General features: G+C 37.9%; 1 protein-coding gene across 54 annotated transcripts in view, besides 1 other annotated feature; it reads right to left on the bottom strand.

The window, feature by feature from the left end:
• Positions 1-19,968, bottom strand: part of SNCAIP (synuclein alpha interacting protein) — a 152,867-nt gene that overhangs the window by 31,465 nt on the left and 101,434 nt on the right. For 39 of the 54 annotated variants that reach the window (XR_001742366.2, XR_001742364.2, XR_001742365.3 and 36 more), the window contains 3 exons: positions 9,016-9,887; positions 7,224-7,403; positions 673-786 (listed from right to left, as the gene is read on the bottom strand). The exons of 1 other annotated variant lie outside the window; for it this stretch is intronic. Coding sequence is in view for 48 of the 53 variants with exons in the window: in XM_006714734.3 (XP_006714797.1) it covers positions 673-786; positions 7,224-7,403; positions 9,016-9,887 (1,166 nt within the window). In the remaining 5 variants the exon portion in view is untranslated. The remainder of the gene's footprint in view (positions 1-672; positions 787-7,223; positions 7,404-9,015; positions 9,888-19,968) is intronic. 14 more of the 54 variants (NR_131762.1, XM_047417932.1, XM_017010083.2 and 11 more) reach the window with 3 other exon arrangements.
• Positions 10,933-11,142: an enhancer, noted in NCBI's record as "active region_22995". NCBI's record gives its function as "activates an Ori minimal core promoter by ATAC-STARR-seq in GM12878 lymphoblastoid cells {active_cell/tissue: GM12878}" and the evidence as "EXISTENCE:reporter gene assay evidence [ECO:0000049][PMID:35858748]".

Genomic DNA, 19,968 nt, shown 5'->3' with positions numbered 1-19,968 from the left:
AACACTGGATTGTGATCTGTGTACACTAATTAATGTTGGGATTTCCTAATGTGGAAATTGATTGCAACTGAGAGCCATCTGGTTAGTGTGCTTATTCATCTTTAATTGAGTGAGACTGCCTTGATTAATGTCTTATAAAGATTTTCCTTTTAACTTTGGGTTCAAGAAAATGTATCATTGTTCCTTTTGATAAATGTTAAATGTGTTTACTGTAAAAAATTTGGAAAATACTGAAAAATTAAAAAAATAGAAAATCGAAGCCACTTGTACTGCTACTCTGAGTGATAACTACTATAAACATGTTGTGACATAATTTTTTTAGTATTAATTTCTATTTCTCTTTATCTCCAAAATTCAAAGTTGGTGCTAAATTATAGGACCAGTTTTGTATCATACATATTTGTTTAGTACTATATAATGAACATTTTCCCATAAAATGTCATCAATGGCTGCAGCTTCATTATTTATCCAATATCTGTCATGGGATATTTATTTAGGTTGTTGTAAACTTTTTTTCATTTAAAACAAAAATAACAACAAATATCATTGGTTATATACCTTTGGATACATTTTTGATGATTTCTTATGTTTGGATTTTGATGGACTAATAATAAAAAAGTAGGAAGATTATATGGTACACAAAGGGAAGATACTTAAAAAACTCCTTCATACCTGGCCATAGCAACCTGCGTAATGAATAAGGCTTGGAAAATCCTTAGAACAACTCAGTTCTGCAATGGCTTCTGTTTCGCTCACCATCCAGCGTACGCACTCCAACTGACCATTCTAGGTTTTAAAAAAGAAAGGGAGATGGAAATTCAAGGTAACTCAGGTTTGAAAAATACATTAAAGATGGTAATTTCACCAAGGAAAGAAATCATATAAATTTTGGCATTTATATCAGGCTTAATTTATTTATGATATAAAGATATCACCTATTATATTCCTGATCTGTGGATTTGGCTCGAAATCAATTGCAGAATTTTTATTTAAGTTCATTTTCATAATTGTAATCAGTTATTTTAAATTCACTTTAGTAAGGTATAATTTGTATACTATAAAATATAATCTTTTAAAGTATACGGTTTGATGTATTTTGACAAATATGTATACTCCTGTAACTATAACTTCACTCAAGACAAAGAACATTTCCATTATCCCCAGAAGTGTTCTAGTACTCTTTGGTTCTCACCCTCCTCTCATTTGTCCCAAACAACCACTGATGAGATTTCTGTCACAATAGATTAGTGTATATACTCTTGTGTCTGGCTTCTTTTACATAGCAGGCCTTTGGGACTCATCCAAGCTACTGCTTGTATCAGTAATTTATTCCTTTTCTATTGCTGAGAAGTATTTCATTGTAGAATTATACCACAATTTATTTATCCAATAACTTATTGATAGATATGTGGATTGTTTCCACTTAGGGGATATTATGAATAAAGTTGCTATGAATTTTTTTTGTGAATAGTGAATACATGCTTTTATTTCTCCTCGGTAAATAACGAAATTTCTGAGTCATATGGTAGCTGTATATTTGACTTAATAAAAAGCCACCAAACTAGTTTCCAAAGTGATTGCCCACTTTATATCACCACCAGCATCATATGAGCATTCTAATTGTTCCAAAACTAAGCCAACACACGGCATGGTCAGTTAATCAGTATTCTTCAATTAAACTTCATAAGATGCACAACTGTTTTCCAATCCCCAAAGAATCATATTTGTTAATGAAAAATCAGTAAACTCATATTTGAAATTAAAAATTTCATTAAGGGATGAGGTAAATATCTTAATTAGTAAAATATTAAACAATTTTAAAAAGGGAAATTATCTTTTATTATATACAAATAATATAACTATGGATACAGAAAGTAAAATATCCTCAACTTTTACATTTTTAAGGAAACCAACCCTCTTGACCTTTAGGATCAAGTAAAAGTAGGCAGAAAAAAAAGAGTAGGATTTTCTTATAGTCGTTTATGAGTATTTTTTACCCTCATAATTTTTAAAAAATTTCTCATAATTTTTAGAAACTTAAACTTCTCTCAAAAAGCAATCAAGGCATGTAAATAGCTACAATATAGTCCATACATGTCTGTAGAAAATGTTCCCTACCACTTATAGAGCAGTATGATATATAAACCCAGATACGTATCTCCTCGTGATTAAAACCCAGATTCTGATATGGTTTTAAATCTTAATCTGCCACTTAGTTGCAAGACCATGGACAAATTACTTTACCTATCCGATACTCAATTTTCTTATCTGTGAAACAGTGAAATAGCAGGGATAATAGTAACTACCTCATAGAGTTACCATGAAGATTAAATGAGATAAAGCATGTAAACTTACTAAGCAGACAATACTTGTTACCTTCTATTAGAATGCTCTCTTAGATTCTCGCAATAACTCTGTCAGACAAATCAAACATTCAACTGCCTTCCTAGTTTGCAGCTTGTGGGATTTTAGCCCAGGAGAAAAGAGGTATGGTTGGCAGGGAGCCAAGGGAGGCTTCACTGAGGGTAGCATTTAAATTAGTAGAATAGGATTAGTTTCTCTTTATTTTAGAATTCTATCATTTAACTGCTCAAGGGTAAAAATTTATTCTAAAAGGAGGACAATGAGGTAATCTGCTCATTCTTCATTTTATTCCATTTGGATAATGGAACTCCCAACTATTCACATGCAGATTCTATTCTCCTGAGGTATTTGCCCGAGAAGGTTGTTCTGAATGAGTTGGCTCCCTGCTCCTCTGGCTGGATCTGGCTGATGGTGACAGTGGCAGATCAGGAAAGGAAAGTGAGTTTGAGGCCCTCTCTATGGGGTTGCCATTGGCCATCTGAGTCCCTTAAAAAGCCCAAAAGTAAGCCAGTCCTTTGTACTCAGTCCTTTCTATCTCAAGTTCTTATAACCACTCCTTTCCCTTTCCCAGCTTTGGGGAGGTAACCGTGTCCTGGCTGTTAAATAAACACCCCAGGGTACTGCACTTTCCTTTACGAACCCCTTACCCTCAACCATCCTTTTATATATAATCCCTTAATTACAGACTTTCCTTAAATTTCGCAATTGGAGCATGCCAAATGTTTCCTACCAGGATTAAAAACGAAAAACCACTAACACACAAATACAATGTGCTTCATTCCCGCTAAAAGAAGAAAGGAATAGCAACCATATTGATCATTTACTAGGCAAGACGGTTTAAGCAAACTGGCATTTACACAGAACACAGAAATGTGAGGCAACATTTCTGATTTCTGATTTTAGTAATGTAGGTCTTCTATTTTTTTTTTTTTTGGTCAGTTTACCTAAATTAGGCATTCATTACTTTTTAAAAATATTTTCATAGAACTAAATGCTGTTTTATTGACGTCCTCTATTATTTTTCTATTTTTTATTTTATTTCTTTTTACTCTAATTTTTATTATTTCCTTCCTTCTGCTTGCTTTGGATTTAGTCTGCTCTTCTTTTTCTAGTTTTCTAGGGTGGAAAATTAGGCTATTAATTTGAAGTCTTTCTCCTTCCCACTTTCCTCTCCTCCTCTTTTAATAGAGGCATTTACAGCTACAAATCTCCCTCTAAGTGCTGCTTTAGTTGCATCTTGTAAGTGTTGGTATGTTGTATTTTCATTTTCGTTCATCTATAAATATTTCCTAATTTTCCTTGTGATTTCTTAACACGTTGATTTATTTTGACATGTAATTCTACATATTTATGAACATCCCAAATTTCCTTTTGTTATTGATTTCTAATTGCATTCTATTATGATCGAAGGACATAACTTTGCATTTCGATCCTTTAAAACTTATTAAGACTTCCATAAAAAAGGATGAGTTCATATCCTTTGTAGCGGCATGGATGAAGCTGGAAACCATCATTCTGAGCAAACTATCACAAGGACAGAAAACCAAACACCGCATGTTCTCACATATAGGTGGGAATTGAACAATAAGAACACTTGGACACAGGCGGGGAACATCACACACTGGGGCCTGTTGTGGGGTGGGGGGATGGGGAAGGGATAGCATTAGGAGAAATACCTAATGTAAATGACGAGTTAATGGGTGCAGCAAACCAACACGGCCCATGTATACATGTGTAACAAATCTGCATGTTGTGCACATGTACCCTAGAACTTAAAGTATAATAAATAAATAAATAAAAATAAAAGGTAAAAAAAAAAAAACTTATTGAGACTTGTTTCATAGCCTAACATTTGGTCTATCCTGGAGAATGTTTCATGTGTACTTGACAAGAATGTTTTCTGCTATTGTTGGGTAGTGTTCTATTAGATGTCTGTTAGTTCTAGTTATTCAAGGAGGCAACACTTAAACAAAATGCTGTTAGAAAGGCAGAAGGAAATATTATATCACTATTGTGAGTTTGAAACCAGTATTACTTGCCATAAATATAAATACTAAGAAAACAAACAAACAAAAAATTCTAGCAGGAGATTTTTGCCTGCCAAAGTCTATGGGCCTGGGGCCACTTGCTGTATTTAACATACAGCAAGGGGGTATCAGTAAGATTATGTGTTTGAAGTCACGTTATATCCAGATGGACACTTTGCTTTTTGGCTTAATCAAAAGGACTGAATGAGAAGTGAAAAGGGAATTAAGATTATTTCATTCCTAGACTATTTAAGTCTTAAAATAATTACTTCTTCTGTCCTGTTTTAGAAAACAGACTGCTCTCACCTTTTAGAAATATTTCTTTCCAATTACTTTGCTTAATCATTTCTAAAGAAAACTCAATAATACCCTGAACTCCCACAGTATGTACTCTTGGGTATCCCAGAAGTGGTGAATAAATTCTGTATGTAACTGGCAGAATTTATTACGTTCCATTCCAGGAGTTTAATAGTGAGGGAGATGTTCTTAAGTCCTGATATGACTTCAAAGCCCGTTCCCAGGTAAATCTTTCTATTTGATACCTTATCCCTGACTCTGCTTCCTGTTAGCCAAGTCATATTATCTTAGCAACTTCTGTACATTTGTACCAACTTTGTCTTTCCATGACAGCAGGGCCCTCAAAACTGTGTTTAATGAGGTGAAACACCACTAGTTGGTTACTGGTGTTCAAAACAAGGTCCTAAAACAAAATGGTGACTCTTTAGGACTCTCTCAATGTCATCAATGTTCATCAAAATACACTGAATGGACTGAGACAAAATATGCGTCAGGACAGATTTCTAAAGAGGGAAGCACTTGTTATAAAATATTTGTATTTACTGCTTTTGTAAATTCTAGAATAAAGGAATAGAACATTCAAATCATTTTCTGGAAGTTAAGTATGAAAAGCCTGAGACCTCAAACCTGTAAAAGTTTTTGAGTCTTATGGGTTTGAAATCTTTTTCATTAAAATGAAAAAAAAAAAAACACTGCTGTTTAAGTTTGCACACTGATGGTATGATGGCAATCTTATGTTGACTGCAGGAATATAAGAATGAATTGAAACTTAATATGGATATCATAGAAGGTGTTTATGCTGAAGATTGGCGTAACAACCACTAAGTTTCTTATGTACCTTCTACTCAGAGATTTTTAATCTATCAAAACAAGCCCTAGGGCATACAAATTAAAAAAAATTATTTTCTTCTACCTATATAAATAATCTACCATTAGGAAGACTAATGAGAACTGTATTTTATAAACACTAAAACAGCAAGGCAAATCTTAACACTCATTAGCACTGCAAGAATATTTATCACTGACACATGCTCATTGATGTCTACAGAACTCTGTCACAGGGCTATATCCCAAATTTGCCATCCTATACTTGTGTTACTGATAACTTACCAGTCTTATCCACTAGCAATAATATTAGCTCCTTAAGAGTAGGGACTATGACTTATACAAATTTGTATTGCCAGCCACCAAACGCAGTACCTGGTAAACTTGGTACACTTTGTTAAGCTCAACTATATTAAATCTCGACTTTACATTTGACTTATCTTTCTTCATGATAGCTGCCTGTAGTTTAGTTCTATTTATCTTTCTTCATGATAGCTGCCTGTAGTTTAGTTCTATTTATCTTTCTTCATGATAGCTGCCTGAAGTTTACTTCTTAATTCAACATCATATCACTTACAACCAAAGCAAAATAATACCTACCAGGGTCATAGATTTATTTTATTTAAAAAATTATCTTCTATGCTAGATTTGAAGTATACCTTATTAATTACCTTGCTTAACCGAGCAAAATTAAATAAAATGGAAATTATTTTTTAATGTATAAAACTTTGCTGAATCATCAAATTAAAAATACAAAAAAATCAGGTTTGCGTAAAAAATATATTAAGGTAGAACAGCAGTTAATGGTTTTTTAAATGTAACGTTCTTTAGTGAATTCACATGTAGGTTTCTCTAACAAATTCCCCTCACCAATTTCAATATAATTAAATTTATAAAAATTATGATTATTCAGCTTTTAGAAGACACAACTATTATGTAAAGCAAAGCACATATGCAAAAATACAAGATGTATTATATTTCCCTGAATGTCACTTCTGGCTTTTTAATAAATATGATTGGATTCTACATTTATTTGCCAAAGATCTTTTAGGTAATTTTAGTTGAATAGCTAATCTTCTAGTGATGTGCTATATTTTGCAGAGGCACTTGCTGCAGTGCTATAAAAGTCCATGTTTCTTGTCTCACAGTTTCTAGGTTTTAACTCTATTCCAGTCGACATTAATTTGTGTAGTTTTTGGTAGCGTACTGTGCTCTGCAAGAGCTAAACTCAAACTCGGCACTGATACTCTAAAAAATTCTTGATACTGAAGACACTCAAACTTCAGATGTGATCCGTTAAGCGCCCACTTTGTGATCTGAAATACTCCCGAGTGCTAGCATCCTTAAAACACACCTTCCCCACATTCGTCTTGCTCATTATTGTCATATTAGGAAGAAATGATAGTCTTTGATAGATCCAGGTGTGGTTAAGAAGCTTAATTGCAATCCCTATGAATAACAAAAGTTGTTAGAACTACAACATATCATTTTCCTTTCTCTTTAGTAGCAGATTGACAAAAACTGGGAATTAAGTCTCAAAATCTCAAAGCAGTGACTGAAATGATTACTCTCTTAAATGCAATATGTTCATTTGCTCTTTGCTTGACAAATCACTCTCTTCTCTCCCTTCCAACACTTTAGCTCACAAGGAATCTTAAAAAATAGAAATCCAGCTTCTAGCTGTGGAGGTTCCAGCCCCCAACCAGTCACCTTAATGGCCAGGCCTGCTGGAGTCAACTTCTCAGTGTTGCGCTCATTGAGGCAGTCTTCTCCCATCAAAGAAGTGAGGTGCTGTAGACACTCTGCGTGTCCCTGTGACGCCGCAATATGTAATAGATTGTTTCCATTTTCGTCGTGAATTTTGTCTAGATTGTCTGCAGCTAGGTGTGGCTGTATAAATAGTAAGATTAGAAAACCCAAGTCAATAAATCAGAGCAAGACCCTGTAGGAGTTTTTCTCTGGGCACTGGAAAGAAGAAATGAGCTTATAGAAGCTCTGGTGGCAGCCTTGGGGATCTAATAAATCAGTTTCTTGCTATTATTCTTTGTTACAATATGCTTTAGAAAATGAGTTCTCGAGAGACAGATCTTCATACGAGACATGGCAACAGGGCTAGGGCCAATGAGGTGTGGAGGCTTCAAGTTGGCTTTCTAAAGAACTATAATTACATTTACAGTAATTGTCAGGTTCCCTGTCTGTCTCCCCTACTTGATTGTGAAGTCCTTGAGGGCTGGGGCTGGGTTTTATTCCCTGTTCTATGTTTGTTGAATGAATGAGCTATTTGTCTCTACCTGTTTATTTTGCCTTGAATTGTAGAGAACTGGCTATGGCAAACAACATGATGACTGCTGCTACTAGTGCTCTCATAGGTACCTCTAGACACTGTCATCAAACAAACTCCTGGGGGTATCTGGAGGCTACATGGCTTTGGTTTCTCATCTCTAGTGAAGTTTTTGTCCCTTGACTATGAACTCGTTGATAGAGATTGTTGGGTGAGCTAAGAGGTGTTTTTAGCATTTGGGAAACATGAAAACATGAGAAGGACAAAAGAAAGGAATGAACCAAAGAGAATTAGGGGGAAGAGCCAGGAAAATGGAAAAGACATTTTCAGGAGAAAAAATACTACTTTATTTCATAAAATTATTCAATTATATTACCCTATCACAATAGTATTTGTGATAATAGAGCAAGTACATTGTACTTAAGTATGCATGGCTTTATACTAAGTAGAATCACATTGCCAAGATGTGATGATTTTCTTGAATGAGACTTTAATTAGCATCATAGTACGAGCCCAGGCTTGCTACTGTTTGATCCAAGTCTGGAAGCCAGAAAAGAACAATGTAGGCAGATGGAGTGCTATTTAAGTTTAGCTCTCTCTAAGCCAAAGCAGAACAGACTTTTCTTACATCATGTTACTCTGTGTCTAGAGTCTTTGGAAAAGCTTCTTCATGCTCCCTAGACATGCAGAGCTGGAAGTAAGTAAAAACTCCACCTGGGTCAGAGGGCAATGAAGCCCTTGGGTAAGCTTCTATCTACAAATGCTTTTCAAACAACCTGGTCCAATTCTTCTGAATAATGATCAGGACAAAACAGAAGACCCTCTGTTTACATGTCTGGCAGGTCCACCATCAGCCAAGAATTGACATCCTCACAAATAGCTGCGTGAGAGCACTGGGAACCATTTGAAAAGCAAAAAGAAAGACATTGAGATTCAAGTTAAAGAAAGTGCCGGGCTCTCTTTGAGATTAAGAGTCTTCAGTTGAATTCATGCAAAGTTAAAATGAAATAACACTCCCTCTATAGTTATTTGTTTTCCCTGTATTAACTTCATAACTTCTTATTTTAAAACTCAAAAGGTCACATCTCCCAACTAAAGCCACAAGTAAAGATTAAGTAAAAACCAAAACAAATGCAGCATCGTTCTGTTACTAACGAATGCAGTTTATTAAAAAGGAGTCTCCAGTCTATTGACATGTATACTGAACTAGATTATACTTACCAGGAGAGAGATCTGTCCTTCTTTAACAATGTTCAAGATGCTTTTCACTTTTTTCAGATACTCACTCCTTTCTTCTGGGCCTTGGGAGCTGGTCCGGTTTAGGCCACTGACCTGCTCTTCTGGTTTGGATTCTGCTGCTGAGGATTGTAGGTGGAAGGCCCTGAGCTGGCAGTCTGGTGTTGTCTTCTCAACTTTTCGACCATGAGGATCACTAAATGTCTTGTTTAGGAAGTCTTTACTCTGGTTTTCAGGCTCATATGCAGAGCCACATTTAACCAGAGGAGGTGAGATCTCGGTTTCTTCAGTGGACAGCTTGTGCTGGTCGTGGATGACAGCTGATGCTTTTCTCAAGTGAGGGCTTTTCACGGGAGAAAGAACACAAAATGGTGCCATGTTGGATGATGAGCTCTCAGAACTTCCTGTAGAGCAGGCTTTGCCAGAAAGGCCATTGATGGTTGTGCATAAGCCCAAAATTCTTTTTTCTGAAGTCACCTTGGTAAAAGAGGCAAGCTGCTGACTGGATTTAATATAAGGCACATCCAGAATCTCATCCATGTCGAGGTCGTAGTGCTCCAGTTCACCCAGCGATGTGCTGGGCTCAGAGCTCTTACCTGGTGGGCCGCCCACTCCATCTCCAGGGCCAAGCTCCTGAGGCTGGGGGCCCAGGTCAGACTCACCCCCTTTCTGGTACTCAACCACTTTCTGGTTCTTTTGGTCATCACTTTCATTGTTCTCCAGAGTCTCTGGCTGATGTTTCAGTGGCGAAACCCGCTTCACTGGGCGGAACTTACTGTACACATCAGCGATTCCTGTGGGCTTTTGCGTGTTTGTAATAAGAGTTGAGATGCCACAATTCCAGCTAGAGCTAGAAACTGTTTTTAAAAAATTAAAATAGAAAGCTATTAATCTGGAATGCTGAACACATCTTGGCTATGCAGGTAGATGTGGTTCATTCACATTATGTTCAAATTAAGGTTCTGTGTGTGAGGATGACTTAGAGTGCACATCAATAGAACAAAAAAAATCATACTTACCATTGGAAAACAGTGAATGATCAAAGAAGGTTATAACACAGTGACTCAAAATTAATTAAAGTAATAATAATGGTACAGGTAAATGGCTAAGGAAGCAAACCCAGATAGGTATTTAGGTTTATTCCCTGGATAGATCTACCTCCCTGGCAATATTTTTATATTTGTCACCACCCTGAAAAACAAGATTAGAGAATAAGATCTTCAGTGTTAAATAAACTTCCAAACTGATTTAGGGAGAAAAGGGACGTATGCACACATGCACACACATTAGCGTGCATGTCCACATACACCCCTAATGCACAAGAAGTCCCATGAAAAGAAGTGGCAAATTATTTAATATTGAGCAAATTCAAACTATGACCTCCTTGAGTGACTCCCTAGGTGTGCCATTAAGTGGATTAGGGAAAGAATAGGAAGGAATACAGTGCTCAGGAGTTGAAAGGACTGTGGGAGAGAAGACATAGTTGAGTTAACCCCACCTTGGTCAAAGTACCCTGGTCAACTATCATGCAGCAACATTTCATGGTGCTTTCTGACATATGACACAGTGACAGAATGCACTAACACTTCACAACAGAACATGTTCTTTAGGATTCAATACTGCCCTCCATTGTTGAGAAGGCTGGAAACAAACAGGAGAAGAAAGTTCTGAAAAGAAAATGGGTCAGGCAGAGTGGTTTTTTTTTTTTTTTTTTCTAATTTCTGTGCAAAGTTTGGATAAAGATTGTGTGTTGGTTTGCATTTGAGTAAGTGTCTGGTTGCGATAGAGTAGAAAGTGAAACAGCCAGACACACCTGGAGGTGAAAGATAAGAGCCATCTCTCCTGGTTATGAGAGGCTGCCTGGTGCCTTCTCTTGAGGCAAGCAGATGGAGCAATAACAGTCTCCTCAGATATGATTATACTGCTTCCTCCCTGGGCCACTCCACTGCTAGATAAAAGATGACCCAGTACCCTTGGAAACTTGCAGGCCACTGATTTATGGGTTCCTAGTTCCCTGCCATGTAGTTCCTATCATCCCCCATCAAAGGATGAGATTTCAGGGGGCATGCCCTACAACTAGGGACTTTCCATTTACCGCTTCTCTTCTGAAACAAGTGGGAAGCATGTGTATGTGTGTGTTCTTTGCTACTGGGAACAACCAAAGAAAAAAAGAACATGAGATGGGTGTATACTCACATCTATAACTTCTGCCATAGCCTCTGGCTATGACTGATTCTTAGGGTGAAAGTGGAACATACATTATTAAAGTTCCCTAAATTTAAGCTACTGGTCATTCTTCTTCCTGCTGGGATATGTTCTAAAAGGATTCAGAGAAGTTCTGGAACCAAGCTAACGGGATGAGAGTGAGTGCTCTGAGCCTGAATGCTATATAACTATCAGTGAGTTCTTTCCCTGAAATTGACCACAGTTTTGCATGAGGTTTCCAAGGGTCTGCACTATGCAGTCCACTTCTCAGACCTTTCTGGCTCTGACATTTTAGAATCTAAGAAGAGAATACTACGAGCTGTGGAAGGAGGGCTCGATTCTCTCCAATAAGTAATGTAGAAGAGAATGTTCCAGAAGGGAAGGAAGGTATCTAGATGGTCTTAGGCTGCTGCTTTTCTTCCCTTTTGCTGGCTTTAGTTCTCAGTTGTACACAGTGCTTGGCATAGATCAGACAATTAACAAATGCTAGTATGTGAATTTGAATCTCACTTTGCACAACACATTAAATCTTCTAAAATGCACAAAGTGCATCCTTCTGAGGGATTTACAGTTTAATTTCACAGGGGACAAAATCCTGTTATAAACTCAGTGGAGTGATAATCACCAGTAAGAGATCAATTTGCTAAAGTTATTTATGAAATGTAAATATGCAAAGGCAAAGACTAATTACAGTTGGTCTCATAAATTTAAGAAGTTTTCTATCTTTTATATGAACTTTTCTCTCTAAAAATATAAAGCCATGAAAAATTAATGACTGCCAGAAATTTCTGCCAAGTCTTCTCTCCTCAAGAACACATGGTTACTTATTTAATTAAAACAGCAGATAGTGGACATAGAGTTTATAAGATGCAAATATGCCTTTAATTTTATTCATCAACTTTCGGCAAGGCTTTAAATAAAATGGAAAAAAAAATATATATATACTCATAGACATTTCTGAGATACACTCTTATTACTGAGTATATTTAGTAATATTTTGCCAATTACCTTGATTTCTTTGGAAGCTCTAGAAAATGTGCATCTCAGAATGTAATAAAAAATTTTAAAGCCACATAACTTAGTAGGTCAATACAACGAGTGCATTGTACCAATATATTTATGTATTATATAAGGTCGTAGGTTCAAAGGGCTACTCTTTTATGTTGGCTTTATTTACATGTGAAATTTTTTCCAAGTGATACAGGGAAATGGATACCATATGTTTCCCAGCTGTTTTGTTCTGACAGGAGCCATTAAAAACGCTCTATGGAAATGAATTCTGTCTGGGTCTTACGAAAACACGTCTTTTCACAGAAGGATCTAGAAACTGAAGAAGGAGTGCCAACATTTTGGCTTGTTGTCCCTCTCCTTCTTCAAACCTATGGCTCTTTTTGAGGCTGTGAGTGAGATCTGTGTTTTCTCGTCTATGTCTTGATTGCCAAGAAAAGACATCCCAGGAATGAAAAATGGATTATTTCACAGGTTTTCATTAAAAGTCTCCAATGTATTGCTATATCATACACCTGGATGGGAAGAAGGGCAACTTTGTGCTATATACAAAAGACAAAATTCAATTCCTTTATTGCTGCTAAGCTCTGTAATCATGTATTTTAAGAATAACACAGAAGAGGGGCTATTAATGACTAGTAAGATTTTCACTCGCAATTATTTAAATCTATCAAAAATTTCACTCATACTTTTATTTTATTGCAATATAATAATAAATTTCTTACCATACATGGAAACAAAGTTTAGACTTATTTTGTTACTAGAAAAATTTTGAGGCTAAATTTGCTTTTTGGAAATTATGAATAAATTCTTTACATGTCAGCAAAATTTAAATCCCCCCAAATTTTATCTATTTTAGATTTGTACAAGTTCCATGAGAGCAGAGTCTGTGTCTAATTTATCTCTCTATCCCTTAAAGAACCCAGAAAATTGCTTTACATAAGTAGATTCATAATGACTTTTTGGTTGAATGGGCTCATTTTTAACATCTTACAGAAGTAAACATGCCTAATAAGCCTTAAACCTGCCTATCTGATTACACCACAGATTTTCTAAAATGGTCAGTAAGTAAACAGACATGTATTTGCTGCTGATGTATAGGCCACAATTATCTCTTCGGATCTAGCTGACACTTGGAATGCCACTTAGCTTTAGCAAAGTATTTGCCTGCTGACTGTCCACACCCATCTATTGATTGAACAAACATGTGGTGCAGTCTTAGAATGTGCAAGGATTCCTGATAGGTGGCCTGGTCTGATCCAAATGCCTCATCTCTCTCCACCTTTGCCCACTCCCTCCCCTTCCCCTTTTCCCCTAACACATCCAGATGCTACTCCCCTTCCCAAAACATATCCCTTGTGATCGTGGCCTACATGGTGACATGAACACTTATGCAGTCTCCTAAGCAATCTATCTCCAAGGCATCCTTGACTATTCTCTTTCCTTGACCCTTCTCCTTCCTTGACCCCTGCCCTTCATCGCTCAGGCACCAAGTCCTGCTGTGTCCTTATCCTCAATCCCTCTGAAATCTGGGCCCTCTTCATCATCACTAAACTGGCTGGACCACACTGGCATCCTCTCCCACAGTCTCTGCAAGGTTTTCCTGGCTTCCCCTGGTCTCTTTTTTCAGTCCTGAGTTAACCTTCTTCAGTAAGTCTGACTTTGTCACCCAAAATCCACTCAAATATTTCAGGTAGCCCTGTACTAAACAATATTTCCCCATATGTGGGTGCATATCCCTGCAATATCTAAGAGGCACACAGGAACCATGCTAAATACCCCTGATTTACAGAGTGAGAATGCTATTGGCCTTTCAAATTCTCTTTTTTCTTACTAATTAATATAAGGAGACTCATTTTGGTGCTAGAATGAATTTAACTCCTTTCCAAAACTTACAATTCCCTATTCGAAAAATGAGACCTCAGGCCTCAGGCTCAGAGACGTTCATAAGCAAATAATGAAAGGAATGTTTTATGTTCAATTTATCACATTCATTTTAATGATGAACTTGAATTTATTGCAAGTGACCATGGCTTTCTATTTACAACCATAGTGACATGAAGTTTCCTTTAAAAACAAATATGTTTGAAAGTCAGGTGTTTTAGAAAAATATATTAAATAAACATAGTACAGGTGCAATACAGGTAAAGCAAAAATAACAGAGGTAGACTTGGGATATAACACATGTTGTGGAAATGATACTTAAATTACTAGGTTTGTGAAACTTTGGCTTCCAGGATAACAGCTAAATTCTTTAGCATGGTATGTAGCAGCTCTTGTATTTGTTTTCTAATTTGCCTTATCATCTCAGCACTCATGATTCCCAAATCACTAATTTTTCCCTGCAGCTCCACTGCTAAATTCATCCTTTCTGGATATACCATACTCTCCCTGCATTTAAGCTTATTCTTACTTTCCTACAATGCTCTTGGCTGTCTTCTCTGCCTGAGACTCAGGCTCATCTCACAAGATTACACTCAGGGGTTACCTCCTTTGTGCAGTTCCTGTGACTCTCCTAGGGAATAATTGCTCCTTGCTTCCCAGTGCCCTGATAATACCTGCACATACCTAGAGTTGGGCATTTTTGAAATTCTGTTACAACTCTTCACTCATATACCTGTTTCACCTTCCCTCCTGAGAACCCCTCAAGGGCAAAGATAGCCTGAGAACCAACTTGTGTTTATAACCAGCCCTTTGTCTAGCAGAGTGCCTTGAAGATACTGGGGACCAATGACTTAATCTTTCAATGAATGGATGAATGAATAAAAGGGGAGGTGGGGAGGGAAGGAGGAAGGGGGAAGGTAGAAAGGCAGAATGGAAGGAAGAAAGGAGGGAAGGAAGGAAGGAGGAAGGAGGAAGGAGGGAAGGAAGATGCCAAAACCAAAGAAGAAAAGTATAGTAAATAAATATGAATTCTGACACAATGAAGTCACCTTGCCACATTTCGGGCACACTAATTGTGCCAAATACTTTCAAAGATAGTGTTAGTAAGCTCTTGAAAATGTTTAGACAAGATGTGCTGCATATTAAAACACTTTCATCTATTTCCTACAAAACATTCCTCAGTTTCCTCATCTGTAAAATGAACGGGTTAGACTATAAGATTGCTAAAACCCGATCCACCCCTAAATTTCTATGACTGTATGGAATGTCTACAAATAACAGAGCTCTTTATTCTGAATGACTCACTATGAAACACTATAATTTCTCTGGATCTATGTCTTTCACCAGATCCTCACAAATTTATAATTATGAGGCTATGCTGATTGCTGACACAGAGCAACTCTTTGGCTCCTAAGACTGATAAATTAGTATTTTCTTAGGAAGATAATGGACAGTTTGCTGTTGCAACAGTGGATTCAATTTTCAGGACCAAACGTCAATGCTGGCTCCCAAAATGCCTATTTATTTTACCTCTAAATAGAAAGTTATGTGTCCGTATTAGAAAATTAGCTTGAGACATCAAGAATAGAAAGAAAAGCGGTATGATTTAGGATAAAGTAGTGTTCCCCTACTGTTTTTCATTAAAAGTTAAATGGATTTTATTTTCCATGAGGAAAAAAGGGGTCAGCTTTAGCTATAATTGCCTTCAAATGTACACAACAATATACCTCACATCCATAGCTACTGGAAACCTAGGCGCCTTCAAGGACATACTTTTGAAGTTCTCCAACATTCCATTTCTTTCCATTTTCACAGCAAAAGGAGGGGCATTATGAATGATTGGGAGTATTAATGCTAGAGTCAGGAGTTTGGTTAGTCCTATGTAAGGTGAAGTCTGTACTGCACCCACTTACTGCAGACACCTCAGGCTCTGTAAGAAATGATGACAGGTGGCTTATCCCATGTTCTGACAGTAGGAAGAAGGCATGGAGTCTGAGTGAGGACGACTTGCTGGGTGCTCTTCTGTGCTGTCCTGAGAGATGAGACCATGACCTGATCAAAGTTAAGGCTGAGTCAACTCTGGATTTGGAGAATTGTGATGGGGCACTGTCTTGGGAAAAGCAAAAGTGTGTGTGAGGAATGAGTGTTTCTGGGATGCTCCCTTCTGGCTGCTTGCTCATCCTTTTCAATGATGCTACAGACCCTCTAGTAAGGGTAATGTGAGGCTGAGGAAGGAGGACAGAAGGCTTGTTTATTATAGAAATGCCAGCCAACGATCTATCCACATTAGGGCATTAAAACACTGTGGGGAAAGCGTCATTGATTTGGGTTCTAAACTTTCTGTCTTTAAGTGGCTACTGATATCAAGCAGCTGTCGTTGAATGTGTCCGATTCATGTTTTATTATTCCCAGCTCTGCCCAGAATTGTCAAGACCTGCTCACATAACTTTGCACCCTATTTGCACCCATTTCTTTGTTTTAGTGACAACTCATTGAAATACTCAAGCCCTACTACCCTGGATAGAAAAGATACTTCACCAAAGAGGCATATTCCATCACGAAATCAGACTCAATATTTTGACAACTTTAAACCTTTGGGCTTCAAAAGTACAGTTTCCATAGAACAGCAATTGGTGGGGTGCAGAAAGTTACGTGGTCTTCGCATTATTGTGTCATCTATAAAGTATGCTGACCTTCACTTCGACACTAGCAAAACCTCGGGAGTGGATTAAGTTTTGTGTTCATTCCAGGTCCATTTACCAGGTTTCCTTTCCTTCTTTCCCTCCCTTTCTTGAGGAAATGTAGGGAGAGATACATTTCAAGGGACAGTGAAAGGCTCACCATTTGAGATGCTCTGGAACAGGGCAGAGCTGTGAGCAGGCTCAGTATGGCTTCTGGCCGTGCAGCACGCACACATTTTAACTGAAGGTGGCGATGTTTTACAGGGCTGATCTACCGTCAAGGACAAAGGACTCTGAGTTACTGCTCCTTGGTAAGAGAGAACAGGAGGCTGACAGCACAGGCTGAAAAATCCCTGCCCTCTTCTCTCCATTTCCAACTGACAACTTCCAAAATGCCTGCTGATTTTACTTCTAAATATGGACTATGTGTCCACATTAGAAAATTAGCTTTAGACACCAAGACAACAAAGAAAATGGGGTATGTCTTTAGGGTATAAGAGTGTTCCCTTCTTGTTTTATTGTTGCTAAAACTTAAATGCATTCTATTTTCCACAAGAAACAAAGTGGTGAGTCTGTGAAAACTGGTCTTATTTTAAGAAGGACACACTTTAAGGGGAGGAGAAATGGAAGACCCAGTGCTGGCCTGCAGCCTACTCTTGCTCTTGGCAGGTCTGTGGGTCTGCCCATGCAGGCTCCTACCATGGCCTGAACTCTCAGCTACAAGACTAGAGAGAGAACAGGCAGGTGCAGTGGCATACAAAGTGGGAGGAACAGCGGAAAGTGGCTCGCCCTGGGATTAATGAATGGCAGAGCTGCTGCACCTCCGTCTTCAGGTGCAGGTCACCATACACTTCACAAGTATACTATAAAGAGTGAAAGAAAGATTTAAACCTATTTTAAGAATTCCACAAAGCAATATTTCTTATTTGGAATTTTCCTAAAATGTCCTCCACTTAATACTTTAAAATTGCCGATACATTTGTGTTAAGGCTTTTTATGTTTCTGAGTACAAGGCAAGTGTATGATTTCATTAGAGATTTCCACAACTCTGGAGGATGGAAAGGCAGTTCTTATGTATTCTTACTTGGAAATAAATGAGAACTCAGAGAATTTTAAGTATAATGTGGAAAATGACATAGCATGCTGACTTCTCAACTAGGACCAAGGTTCTCTGACTCTAACTTTCTTCCCGTAACACTGGAGGACTGCCTTATTGAAATTAAATTATTCCCTAAAGATATAATTCACATTTTTCTCTATTTGGGTCACCTATATGCAATGGAATCCCAGAAATCAGTGGTCGTACTCATTTTGGATTCACTCTAACCTAAATCCAACACTGTGTTGTCTGTCTAAATTTTGGTAACCATTTACTAGGAACCTTCTGTGTGGGAGCAAAGTCAGAAAAGTAATTTATGGCTGGGCAAGGTGGCTCACGCTAGTAATTCCAGCACTTTGGAGGCTAAGGTGGGCGGATCACTTGAGGTCAGGAGTTCATGACCAGCCTGGCCAACATGGTGAAACCCCATCTCTATTAAACATACAAAAATTAGCCAGGCATGGTGGTGCATGCCTGTAATCCCAGCTACTCAGGAGGCTGAGGCAGGAGAATCGCTTGAACTTGGGAGATGGAGGTTGCAGTGAGCTGAGATTGTGCCATTGCACTCCAGCCTGGGCAACAGAGCAAGACTGTCTCAAAAAAAAAAAAAAGGAAAAATAATTTTTAATGACTTTTCTTGGCTGGGCGCACTGGCTCAGACCTGTCATCTCAGTGCTTTGGGGGGTTGAGGCAGGAAGACTGCCTAAAGCCAGAAATTTGAGACCAGCCTGAGTAACACTGAGATCCTCATCTCTACAAAGAATTAAAAAATTAGCCAGGCATGGTGGCTTGCTCCTGTAGTTTCATCTACTAGGGAAGCTGAAGCAGGAGGACTGCTTGAGTCCAGGAGTTGGAGGCTGTGGTGAGCTATGATTGTACCAATTCACTTCAGCTGCGGCGAAAGAGTGAGACCTTGTCTATAAAAAAACAAACAAAAAAATCCCCCAACCTTTCTTAAAAACAGTTGAGTGGAAGGGTTTTCTTCCTCTTTATTTTTAGCAGCATTAGCCTAAATTTAGTCATTTTATCACCGGTAATCTGTTCTTACAGCTGCTAATTCCTTCAACTGGCTAAGGGTGGTGATCCTTTTTTTTTCTTTTTTCTTTTTTTTAACTTAGCAAGGAAAGCAGGAATACAAAGCATGGTCAGAGTGTTAAAGCAATTGGTAATTGGCAGAATGCTATGGTACTCTTAGACAGTTCATTCATTCAACAAATATATATTGAACGTCTCTATGCACATGTCACTAGGGGTGCAGGAGTGAATGAAATAGATATAATCCTGCTCAGACAATGATGCAAGTACACAGGTAAATAAAAAAAATTACTTAATGTAAACTGCTTTGAAGAAATAAGGAGAGGACTGGAATAGAAAACAGATGAGAACCTCATCAAGGAGGTGACATTTAAGCTAAGATCTGGAGGATGAGAAGAAGCCAATTACGTGAGAAACTGGGAGATAATATAAGAGGAAAGATAATTTTATGAAGATCTGAGTAGGTAGAAGGAAGCACATGTGCAAGTTTCTAAAGCAGAGAGAATCTGGCAGGTTCTGTAGCTGTTATTGCTAGATCAGAGTGGGTCAGAGTCAAAGCAAGCAAAGTTGAAGCTGGGGGATGTCATCAGGGACCAACCCATTTGGGGATTTTATTGGCCATAACAAAGAGTTTGTTTTTTATTTTAACTGAAATAGGGTATTTCTGAGGGGTTTTACAGAGAAGTATTGTCTTCAGATGGCAGAAGGGGAGAGGGAGCTCTCAGCAGCTGCTTTGGTAAGACACTAATTCCATTTATGAGGGCTCCATCCTCTTGACCTAATCACTTCTCCAAAGATCCCACCTCCAAATACCATCATCTTGAGAGTTAGGTCTCAACACACAAATTCTGGAGGGACGCAAACATTTAGTTTATAGCATGGGGAAATACTTTGAGCACAGAGACTCAAGACCTGGTGATGAATTGATGTGGGACATCAGGGAAAGCAAGAAATCTGGCTTCAGCGCCTGATGAGATGTTTCAGTCAGCAGAGTGCAGTTCACTGAGGAGAGAGTCTGAGGAGGAA

The sequence above is a fragment of the Homo sapiens genome, chromosome 5 (genome assembly GCF_000001405.40).
Source record: "Homo sapiens chromosome 5, GRCh38.p14 Primary Assembly".
In the NCBI taxonomy this organism is placed as follows: domain Eukaryota; kingdom Metazoa; phylum Chordata; class Mammalia; order Primates; family Hominidae; genus Homo; species Homo sapiens.
This window is presented reverse-complemented; position numbering and strand designations above follow the sequence as displayed.